This window comes from Homo sapiens, chromosome 10 (genome assembly GCF_000001405.40).
Source record: "Homo sapiens chromosome 10, GRCh38.p14 Primary Assembly".
NCBI lineage: Eukaryota > Metazoa > Chordata > Mammalia > Primates > Hominidae > Homo > Homo sapiens.
In genome coordinates, this window is record NC_000010.11 from 19160267 (window position 1) to 19173178 (window position 12912).

The 12912-nt window shown below is 35.5% G+C and overlaps 1 protein-coding gene across 10 annotated transcripts in view; it reads left to right on the top strand.

Annotated features, from left to right (window-relative positions):
* The window catches only part of MALRD1 (MAM and LDL receptor class A domain containing 1), a 687552-nt gene that overhangs the window by 113340 nt on the left and 561300 nt on the right, over window positions 1-12912 (top strand). For 7 of the 10 annotated variants that reach the window (XM_011519453.3, XM_011519454.2, XM_017016183.2 and 4 more), the window contains one exon: window positions 5371-5544. The exons of 2 other annotated variants lie outside the window; for them this stretch is intronic. In XM_011519453.3, coding sequence (XP_011517755.1) covers window positions 5371-5544 — 174 coding nt within the window. Of the gene's footprint in view, window positions 1-5370; window positions 5545-12912 lie in introns of those variants that run through there. One more of the 10 variants, XM_017016184.1, reaches the window with a different exon arrangement.

Below are 12912 nucleotides of genomic sequence, written 5' to 3' on the forward strand. Positions count from 1 at the left end.
TTGATTTGCGTATATTGAACCAGCCTTGCATCCCAGGGATGAAGCCCACTTGATCATGGTGGATAAGCTTTTTGATGTGCTGCTGGATTCGGTTTGCCAGTATTTTATTGAGGATTTTTGCATCAATGTTCATCAAGGATATTGGTCTAAAATTCTCTTTTTTGGTTGTGTCTCTGCCCGGCTTTGGTATCAGAATGATGCTGGCCTCATAAAATGAGTTAGGGAGGATTCCCTCTTTTTCTATTGATTGGAATAGTTTCAGAAGGAATGGTACCAGTTCCTCCTTGTACCTCTGGTAGAATTCGGCTGTGAATCCATCTGGTCCTGGACTCTTTTTGGTTGGTAAACTATTGATTATTGCCACAATTTCAGAGCCTGTTATTGGTCTATTCAGAGATTCAACTTCTTCCTGGTTTAGTCTTGGGAGAGTGTATGTGTCGAGGAATGTATCCATTTCTTCTAGATTTTCTAGTTTATTTGCGTAGAGGTGTTTGTAGTATTCTCTGATGGTAGTTTGTATTTCTGTGGGATCGGTGGTGATATCCCCTTTATCATTTTTTATTGTGTCTATTTGATTCTTCTCTCTTTTTTTCTTTATTAGTCTTGCTAGCGGTCTATCAATTTTGTTGATCCTTTCAAAAAACCAGCTCCTGGATTCATTGATTTTTTGAAGGGTTTTTTGTGTCTCTATTTCCTTCAGTTCTGCTCTGATTTGACCCAGCCATCCCATTACTGGGTATATACCCAAATGAGTATAAATCATGCTGCTATAAAGACACATGCACACGTATGTTTATTGCGGCACTATTCACAATAGCAAAGACTTGGAACCAACCCAAATGTCCAACAATGATAGACTGGATTAAGAAAATGTGGCACATATACACCATGGAATACTATGCAGCCATAAAAAATGATGAGTTCATATCCTTTGTAGGGACATGGATGAAATTGGAAACCATCATTCTCAGTAAACTATCGCAAGAACAAAAAACCAAACACCACATATTCTCACTCATAGGTGGGAATTGAACAATGAGATCACATGGACACAGGAAGGGGAATATCACACTCTGGGGACTGTGGTGGGGTCGGGGGAGGGGGGAGGGATAGCATTGGGAGATATACCTAATGCTAGATGACACAGTAGTGGGTGCAGCGCACCAGCGTGGCACATGTATACATATGTAACTAACCTGCACATTGTGCACATGTACCCTAAAACTTAGAGTATAATAAAAAAAATAAATAAATAAATATAATAAAAATAAAGAAAAAAAAAGCAAAAAAAAAAAAAAAAAGAAAATTTCCTTTAAAAATGATCAAGTAGTAAATAAAATTTGAATGTTTGTTGTAATTTTCACTTACATGCTTTGCAGACCTGTTTAATGCAACATTCTGGGATGATGGACAATGTTCCCTATGTTAAGTATAGTAGCTACTAGCTACATAGAGCTATTGAGCATTTAAAACAACTGAGAGGCCAGGCGCAGTGGCTCTGGCCTGTAATCCCAGCACTTTGGAAGGCTGAGGCAGGTGGATCACGAGGTCAGGAGATCGAGATCATCCTGGCCAACATGGTAAAACCCCATTGCTACTAAAAATACAAAAATTAGCTGGGCGTGGTAGCACGTGCCTGTAGTCCCAGCTACTCTGGAGGCTGAGGCAGGAGAATCACTTGAACCCAGGAAGTGGAGGCTGCAGTGAGCCGTGATCACGCCACTGCACTCCAGCCTGGGCAACAGAGTGAAACTCTGTCTCAAGAACAACAACAACAGCAACAACAACAACAACAACAAAAACAAAACCATAACTGAGGAAATGAATTTTTCACTTTGTTTAATTTTAATTAATTTAAATAAAACAGCCACACTATTTTCACGATTTTGTAGTTATGCTCATTATAATTAAATGTTCATTTTCTTTTGCCACTCTTCCTCCAAAAGACTCAAAGGTCCCTAAGGACCTGTAATGCCTTATACATTTTTTTGACGTAGAATAGATTATCTTTCTTCCTCTCTTTCCTCTCTCTCTCTCTCTGTTACTTTCTCTCTATATATTTCTGAATGTTTATAAGCATTTACTGACAGTCTACTCATTTCTTTCTTCTTTTCTTTAATGCAATTAACTGAATACTTAGAAAATACAAATTACTATAATAAGTTCTGTGAGGAATTTATGACACGTTTCATGATTTGGAGTTTAAGGTTTAGTGTTCTGCTACTGGCATGTACCAGGTTGAGAGGCACAGAGTTTCCATACTTGAGTACTGCTTATGTGAAGTTACAGCTTGTATCAATAACTTAAAATTGATCATTAGAGAAATTCAAATCAAAACCACAATGAGATATCATCTCACACCAGTCAGAATGGCCATTATTAAAATGTCAAAAAATAACATGCCGGCAAGGTTGTGGAGAAAAAAGTATGCTTATACACTGTTGATAGGAGTGTAGATTAGTTCAACCATTGCAGAAAGCAGTATGGCAACTCCACAAAGAGCTAAAAGCAGAGCTACTATTCCACCCAGCAATCCCATTACTTGGTACATATACCCACAGTACTAGAAATTTTTCTACTATAGGTCAGGTGCAGTGGCTCACGCCTGTAATCCCAGTACTTTGGGCAGCTGAGGGTGGGTGGAGTGCTTGAGTCCAGGAGTTTAAGACCAGTCTGGGTAACATGGTGAAACCTTCATCTCTACTAAAAAGTTAAAAAAAAATTAGCTGGGTGTGGTGGTGCAAGCCTGTAGTCCCAATTACTGAGAAGGCTGAGTTGGGAGAATTACCTGAGCTCAGGAGTTTGAGGCTGCAGTGAGCCGTGATCATGCCACTGCACTCCAGCCTGAACAACTGGAGTGAAACCCTGTCTAAAAAAAAAAAAAAAAAAAAAAAAAAAAGACATCATTCTATCATAAAGATACATTCACATGTATGTGAATGGTCATTGCAGCGCTATTTACAATAGCAAGGATATGGAATCCACCTAGATGCCCAGCAATGACAGATTGGTTAAAGAAAGAGTGGTACATATGTACTGCGGAATATGCAGCCATAAAAAAAGAACAAGATCATGTCTTTTGTGGGAACGTGGATGGAGCTGGAGGCCATTATCCTTAGCAAACTAACACAGGAAAAGGAAACCAAATACCGCACGTTCTCACTTGCAAGTTGGGAGCTAAATAATAAGAACAATGAACACAAAGAAGGAAACAACAGACACGGGGGTCTACTTTAGGGGGGAGGGTGGAGGAGGGAGAGGAGCAGAAAAGATAACTATTGGGTACAATGCTTAGTGCCTGGGTGACAAAATAATCTGTACAACAAGTCCCCGTGACACGTGTTTGCCTATGTAACAAATCTTCACATGTACCCCTGAACCTAAAATAGAAGTAAAAAGGAAAAACAATGAGTTGAAAACAATTGTGGGCTGTATCAATAACTTTTGTTCAGTGATTTCACCCTCAAAAATTCAAAAGATAATGGAACATTCCTTGGTATTTAATAACTTAAGAATTTAAGTCTCCATAATGCAAATTCTATAGAAAAAGTAAGTTAAATATAAGTTCTGAGCTCTTATCCCATTGACTATGGATCCCATTGGCATTTATACTTAATACACTATTAAAATAACTTCACACTGGTGATGTACTGAGTGACAGTTTGACAGCTCAGAATTCTGATGGGACATGCACATCTCTTGTACAACTAGGTTTAAAGCTCTGTTTTGCATATTTACAAGCTTGGGACATAGTGAAACTTACAGCAGGGATCTAAAATGTAATTGCAGTTGAGAAACATGAATCCTCTCTTTCCATGGAATTTAATTAAACATTTCCATTATTTTTGTTTCTAACTCACCTGTCAAGGTGTGAATTAAGGTAAGCACAGTAATAAAATCTGAAATGAAATAAACAATCAGAATTTTTAAATCAGGTGGTCACAATTAAGTAGACATTGATAAAAATGTGTACCAAATAGAATGCTTGGTGTTTTAAAATGAACAATTTTTTTAAAAAAGCATTTAAAACATTTTTTTTGGTCAACATTCATCACTGGAATTGGGTCCCAACAGTGAAATACATGGCTTGCCTATATATACACTAGAATCTGTCCATTTATCAGTATAAAAGCACAATGATGAATGGGAAAACATTTTTTAAAAAGAATTTAAAATATAATGAACCTGAAAAAATGTCACTGAATCTAAAGAGAAGTATTCCACTTTTGTGGGACCTCATCTTTAAATGTTGGGTTTTTCTTTAAAACATACAGCCTTAGGACCTGTTATATGATAATGAGAAGAGGCAAAAACATTTGACTGCAGCATATCTGAACTTGTTTTAATGGAGGTTTTGTGGGCATATTTTACAGAATGAATCATCCAAACAACATTGAGGGAATTAATTTTTGCCTCATACAGCTCCAGGTACTTAGAAAGTGCTCAGTAAATATTGGTTGAATCAATAACAGTACGCAATTTCATGTTAGGGCTACTGCTATCAGCACCTGGCATAATCCTCTCTATTCTCTTCACTATGTAGTTAAGCCATCAAACCTTTAGATTGTGTCATTATTGATGGTGAATAGGAAGTGAAATGATTAAGCCTCCCTACCCTCAAAGAATGTTGTCTTACTTGGCTCAATTATTGATGAACAGTATCCTGTGAGCTTCCACGTTATTTGTTAATGCTACCACAGAGACTAAATTGATATAAAGTATTAATTACAGTTTTTAAAATTAACCTAAGAAAATGATTTTTAAGGAAACTTTTTCTTGTTTGAAACATCAAGTATGTATAGTAATACTTGATTTTGTAACGTTGAGTCTCAATGTGTACCTCTCATATTTGTAAGAAGCCAGAGAGAAGGATTCTGGAAACTTCCATGGAAACAGTGGTACTGCCCATGACTGGGTTACACATCTGGGAGAAAGGAGAATTGAGAAGATTATATTTAACACAGAAGTTGTTTGGAATATATATATATATATATATATATTTTGTTTTGTTTTGTTTTTGTTTTGTTTTGTTTTGTTTTGTTTTGTTTTTTGAGATGGAGTCTCACTCTTGTTGCCCAGGCTGGAGTGCAATGGCGTGATCTCAGCTCACTGCAACCTCCCCGCCTTCTGGGTTCAAGTGATTCTTCTACCTCAGCCTTCCGAATAGCTGGGATTACACGCATGCACCACCACACCCGGCTAATTTTTTTGTATTATTAGTAGAGATGGTGTTTCATGCCTGTAATCCCAGCACTTTGGGAGGCCGAGGCAGGCAGATCACCTGAGGTCAGGAATATTTCAAATTATAGGAAAAACTACCAGAGACAGGTCAATGGAATATTTATATCATTGAAAACATGTTTTCAACAGGTGCAGTTTTGGTATCATTTGTCTCAACATTCAAATCTCTCAGTTTTTACAAGAACGTCTCTAGATGGAAACTTGCAAAAGCAGGGCAAAATAATCAGATTCTCCGAATCTCAGTGGAGCCACGCAAAAATTGATCTCATTGCAGAAGCGGGAGAATCTACTCTACCTTTTCAGGTAAGCACATACGAAATTAATACAACTCAACAGAAGACACTTATTTAATGCTAAACCTTTCAGATAACAATATAACACACATAGCTCATACCTTTTCAGGTGAGCACATATGAAATTAATACAATGCAACAGAAGACACTTATTTAATGCTAATCCTTTCAGATAACAAAATAACACCATAGCTCATGAATTTATTCAACATTAATGAAGCAAACACATTCAGAGATCAAACACATGATCTGTGATGAGTAGAGAGGTTGTTTTGACTATGCACTTAAGACATGTGTAGAATAGTAGCAAAAATGGAGATAAGAAATGAATAAGATGGCAGAGAGAAGAGTAACTTAAAATCATTTCTAAGTGAAGACGTTGGATTATATGATGTAGTGAAAAAGTCTGACGTGGGCTGTAATATTTTAATCCTATTGCCTCACTTTCTGCTGCCTGGTAACATTGAGAATGTTATCCACCTTTGGGAACTGGAGGACATTATACAAAGTGAAATAAGCCAGGCACAGAGAGACAAATATGGCAGGTTCTCACTCATGTGTGGGAACTAAAAAGTTGATCTCATGGAGGTAGAGAGGAGAATGGTGGTTACTAGAGGCTGAGAAAGGTGGGGAGGAGGAGGTTAGGAAGGGAGTTTTGTTAATGGTTAAAAAATGTAGTTAGTTAGATAGAAGAAATAAGCTGTAGTGTTTGATAGCACAGTAGGGCAATTATAACAAGTTATTGTGTATTTCAAAATATTTAGGGGATAAGATTTGGAGTGTTCCCAACACAAAGAAATGAGAAGTGTGTGAGGAGATGGTATCCCAATTACCTTTATTTGATAGTGACACATTATATGCATGTATCAAAATATCACATTTACCCCATAAATATGTACAACTACTATGTATTAATAAAATATAATAATAAAAGAAGGCAATTGTGTCTTGTCAAATGGGTGTTCTAATTTCTACCTTCCTGTATATAAGTCTTCTGGATGACATTTGAAAAGAGCTATTTTGGAAACTAGATTGGATGGAGTGGAATATGGTGGAAAGCACACTGTTTTGGAGTCAGTGGTCTGAGTTTTAGTCTCTGCTCTGCTCATTGGTTGCTAAGTGACTGTGTAAATATTGTCTTTGTGCATCAAATTTCCTAATGTGTGAAAACCAGTGATGATAAAAGCAATACTCCAGGGGAGTCTGAATATTAAAGATAATATAGCTAAAATGGCAGCCATGAACATGGGCTCTGGAAACTTGGGTTCAAGTTAAAGGGTTGGGGGTGGTGGCTCATGCCTGTAATCCCAGCGCTTTGGGAGGCTGAGGCGGGTGGATCACGAGATCAGGAGATCGAGACCATCCTGAGTAACACAGTGAAACCCCACCTCTACAAAAAATACAAAAAATTAGCCGGGCATGGTGGCACGTGCCTGTAGTCCCAGCTACTCTGGAGGCTGAGGCAGGAGAAGCACTTGAACCTGGGAGGTGGAAGTTGCAGTGAGCTGACATGGCGCCACTGCACTGCAGCCTGGGCAACAGAGTGAGACTCCATCTTAAAAAAACAAAAACAAAAAAGTGTATGATTATAGGGAAGTTACCGAAGCCCTCTATGCCTCTTTCATTAGTGGGGTGTGAGGATAATAGTTGGGGATTTAAGGTCATCTCATCCTCATTTCTGAACAAATTGAGATAAATATAGAGGTTAAACAGGTAGAGAATACATATTTTGGAGCAGATGGCTTTAGGATGTAGAGTCACTTATTTAAAATAATGCTTGATCTTAGAATAAATAGAATTACCCAGGGGACAATTGACTGTGCTGGAGAAATATAGAGCTCATACTCTAGGCGAAGTCTCTTACCTTTAGCCAGAGATAATATCAGTGTGCATGCCTCCTGAGGACAGGCTGGCTCCCAATAGTGGGTGTTGAATGGGAGAAGAGGATGAATCGAGCTCCCCCAGGTTACTCTTCTAACTTCACAGTCAGATAAATCTTCCTCCTCCCATGGAGTGAGGGGTAAGTAACAGCAATGTTACTACAGTGAACCACCTCCCCATGAAAGCAGGAAGACTAGGGCATAAGCATCAACTGTAATCAATTACTGTTCTCTACTTTATACAGTTATTGTGAGGATTATATGGTGTGTACTTGTAAAGCACATGGAAGCAAATCTGGCACAAACACAGAATTCCGCTGTTTTTATTGCTGTAGTTATTCCTTGGATATTGTCTGGAAATAGTAGACACTCAATAAATGTTAGTGTTCTCTGTTTTAAAAAGGGAATTCCCGCTTGATCAGAACTCTAGGCTCGATCATTAAAGGCTTCTTTACTCAGTGAAGGTCCCCAACGTCCCTTCTCAAAGATCAATTTATTCTATTCTCATATTTAATGGACAAAGACGTCATGAATACTAGCAGCTCTTAATTGGGAAGCATTTGACACAAAGGCTGGTCATGGAATCATTTTGGTGTCAATCTCCATTGCAAGGAGCAGGGCAATGAAATCAGAACAATTTGATCTTTTGCCTCCTGCATTTATATTCTATAGAAAATTGTTTTCATTCGGTTTGCTTTTAGTTAGAATGAAACTCACCAAGAAGATCGTTCAGAGTTTGTCATTAATTGACATATTGAGAAGAAAATAGAATGTCCTTTCTAGCAGTAAGTAATTTAGAAATATGAGTTGAAACACATGCCATTTCTGTCTACAGCTGGAAGCTCTCATGGACCCATCAACATTACTGAAGAGTTTCAGTGAATGCAATTTTTGTTTTCTCTTTAATGTTCTCCTTTTTGGATATAGTAATGGTTTTGCTTTGCAGTGCAAATGGAGACTATCCCTTATTATCTGGGGGCATATTAACTAGTTTGTAGATGGGCAGTGGTTTGGTTAGATTCTGTGATTTGGCTGCAATGGATGTGTGAGGGTTTCTAACCCAGCCCTGCTCCTCCCTCTCCCTTCATCCCCCTGCTGGTGGCTCAGCACCTTGTGTTGCTTTTTCTCTCCAATCAGCCTCAATGCTGAGTTCTTTCGAGGCCTCGGTCACATTGAATTCACCCCAGAGAAGCTAAGACTTTTCCTCTGTGCCTCCCCACTTAATCTGCCTATGAGTTGGCTACAGCACACATTTATTTGGGAAACTACAGATGAGTAAAAGAAAAATAAGAAAAAAAAATTCCCTCACATTTCACTCTCAAGAAGGCCAAGACAGCCCTATAATATCCAATCAGCAATTTAGAAAATTAAATTTGGAAAGCAATAAGCTTTTAAAAAATGAGTTTAGAGGCAAAACCCAAGCTGCCCTGAACCACTGTGAGGCCTTTAGGCAGCTGATTTCATGATAGGTTTGATTAAACAGTGCTGCCCCCAATCTCCCAGAGGGTGTCGTGTAATAAACACTCTCGGTGTTATGTTACCATTCTCAGCTCTGAGCTATTCACATTTCAAAACTCATCTGACCCCAAAGACTTTAGATAAGGAACTGTGGACTTGCAATGATGTTCTGCTGTGAATCAGTCTGGATTTTATACATACACAATATATAAAAATAGATACACTTGCACAGATACATACATGGTAATATTTAATACATGAGTATTGCATATATTTACTATTAAATATTTCTAACTAGTAGTTAAAACAGAGAGAAACAAATACCTAAATACAGCTCAGGATTAACTAATGTTAACATTTTGTTTGCTTATAATGTTAAAGTTTGTTTGCTTATGAAGATGCAACTTTTGTCTTCCTTGTATCTCTCTCCATCCCATTTCTTATCCTCTGCAGAAAAAAAAAGATGCTAATATTATGCTGGCTTTAACCTGATTTCTCTGAGTGTATTTTTAAAGATATGAAAATATACATGAGGATTCTAGCTAGGTACAGTTCTACTTTGTTCTTTTATCGACAACAAATGAAAAAGATATTCTACCTACAAATAGTTAATCTAGCTTTTTAAATATTCAAATATTTAAAGTTTGTCTTCTTGGAAATAGGCTAGGATTTAAGATTAGTAGCCTGAGTCATTTAAGGGTGACCTTAGTCATTGTCTAGCTTTCAGTTCCACGTGTCTAAGCTCTGAACATATTTATACAGTACAGTGTAATCCAGTCCAAATATTGGAAAGAAGAAAGACATCAAATCATGTGACCTCTGTGTTCCCTTTTAGCCATGAAATTCTGATTCAGTGTGGTTCTTTTGATGTCAATTGTAGACAATATAACAGAATACAAATTGCTTTGGGTTTCATAGCAAATAAGCACCCCTAGTTAGGTAGGGCATTTGCTCTTCCTGCTGGCAAAGAATTAGGTTTACTGTTTTCTCTGTAAGAACAGCAAATTAATGACATTTCAATATTCCCTCTATTTCTTGTGAGAGTTTATTGGAAAAATTTAGGTCAAAGAGTTAATAGCATTTTTCAAATCTGTTTTAACTTGGCCTGCTCACTTGCTATGTTCAGCTTTTCACACTAATAGATTCTTTTAATATTTCTTTTCCCCCTAACTATTGTGCTGTTTTAGTATCTCAAGGTGGCACTTTTTCTGAGTAGTCCATTGATTTCAAGTTGCTCTACTTTCTTCGAGCTTCCCATTAAAATGTAATTGTATCATATTTTAGATTTCATTTTGAAATGAACCTTTTGTGAAATTTCACACAATGATGGATACCATGTTCTGTCTTTATCGGAGTCAATGATATAAATCAATAACAATTTCCTGACATTATTTGACGATTCAGTGAAGGGTAAGATTCATAACACAAAAGTAAAAGGTGATCGAGTCTCCGTAAAGTTGCTGGGTCCTTGGCCTGCTTAATCTAGAGCTGCATGAAATCTTGTTTCTCCAGACAGCCCTATTCTGCAGCATCCACTAAAGCCCAGTTATCTCTTTATTTCATTAGAGAGATGCAGGATAGTATAATCATTAATGGCTCAGCTTACATATTTTTCTTACTTGACATGTGACATTCAACCAATTACTTCTATTCTCTAATCTTCTGTTTCTTTCACCTTAAAATAAGATGAAAATAGCATCATCTTCACAGGATTAAAACAAGTGAATGTGACTGGCATATAGTAAGTGCTAAATAAAAGGTGGCTGCTGCTCTTATTATTGATACCATCATCATTCTTCAAAAATTAATATATTCCTACTACTCTCTACTCCTTCTTACTATATCTCTATTTTCTCTTGGATTCATATTCATTTTTTGCTCCCGTTATTTTTTTTGAAAACAAGATTTCTATGTTAATTGCGTATTTGTCTGGAAAAGCACCTGAGTTTTGCACTTGTAAAAAGTAATCACTTGATTATGAACATTTATGAATTTTTGTGGTTCCTAAAAGCAAGAAATTATTTTTTTCATAGAAGGAATAATATAATTGAATAAAACAAAAATCAACAAGATCCCAAAAAATAGTTTTAGAAGAGTGAGTCATCTAATTCAATTTAAAATGTAAATTATTCAATTACCTTGAGAATCTTATCAAATGAGGTTTTCACTCTTCCTCCATCTGTGGTTGAAACAGCTCTTCTGAGTGACCTCTTTCTCACTTACTGATTACCAATTGATGCTGACTGTAGTTCCGAAAGGGAATTGGTCACAACATTTTATATTTTATATACATATATATATATATATATATATATATATACACACATGTATATACACACACACATATATACACACACATATATATGTGTCTATGTGTGTATATAAATACACACACACATATATATGTCTATGTGTGTATATAAATACACACACACATATATATGTCTATGTGTGTATATAAATACACACACACATATATGTCTATGTGTGTATATAAATACACACACACATATATATGTCTATGTGTGTATATAAATACACACATATATGTGTGTATGTGTGTGTATATATACGTATATACACGTATATACGTATATATATCATATAATATACGATATATATACACATATATTGATATATATATCATATATACATATATGTGTATATATATCAGTTTGGTTATATATATACATATATACACATATATACACATACATATATATACATATATACACGTATATACGTATATATATGATATATATCACATAATATATGATATATACATATATGTGATATATATATCATATAATATATGTATATATCACATATATGTGATATATATCATATAATATATGTATATATCACATATATGTGATATATATCATATATCACATATATGTGATATATATCATATATCACATATATGTGATATATATCATATATCACATATGTGTATATGTATCAGTTTGGTTATGTATATACATATATACACATATATACACATACATATATACATATATACACATATATACACATACATATATATACATATATACACATATATATATGTATATGTATATGTATATATCAGTTTGGTTAAAACCAGCAATAAAAAATAGGAACAGCCAAGGTGATTTTGAAACCATGAGATGGTCATTATTTACAGGTGTAACAGACATTTTTTGAAGGAAGTAATTGCTTGTATTTTAAAATTCGTATGATTTTAATTAATGGTAGAATTACAATTTCTAATTGTATAATTATGAATTTAACTATGTAGAAGAAAGCAAGCAAAATATAGATGACCTAATATTATTTTTATTTGGCTTTTGAAGTTGGATTTATCCTTCCATTTTAATATGAATATCTAAAGGAACCTGGTGGGTCCCTTCAGGTAAAGTAATGTAACCACATTTTAAAGACTACCTCAGGATTTTACTTCACCTCATCCCAGGGCCCACCCATTCCATTCAAATAATGTGAGCGTGTACCTCTTTAGGAGCATAGAGAAGTGCCTCAAACTGTCGTTTTTTTTCCTCCAGTTTTCTCTGAGTAGCACAGACCTTCAAATATGATGGTCAACAAATGCTTGTCTAATGAGTCTGAAGAATTAAACATCTATTTTAATTGACATCAATGCAAGATGTATTATAATCATGAATATAGAAAAACTCTTTCAAAAGTTAAGCTGTCCAAAAAAATCACAGTCACTTAATGGTATTAAACACAATATATTTCTAAAGTACAATACTTGTGTATATTTTACCAAGATCCTTCTTCAAAACCTATGTTATTTTCTGCCTCTGGAATGAAGGCTAAATTTCTTAGTTTAAGATTCTACAGAAATCATCTCTAATCAGAATCTTAAAAATTATTATGTACATCACATTAAAATATCAAAAATTGCAAATAAAGCAACAGTCCCTGCTGACCACCCTTATCACCCACCATAGATTTTATCTTGAGTATCTTTAGATACCAGTTTATTTTTACTTCCAGTCCATTTTCTATTTACTTAATATGTATAAATGTACCACATA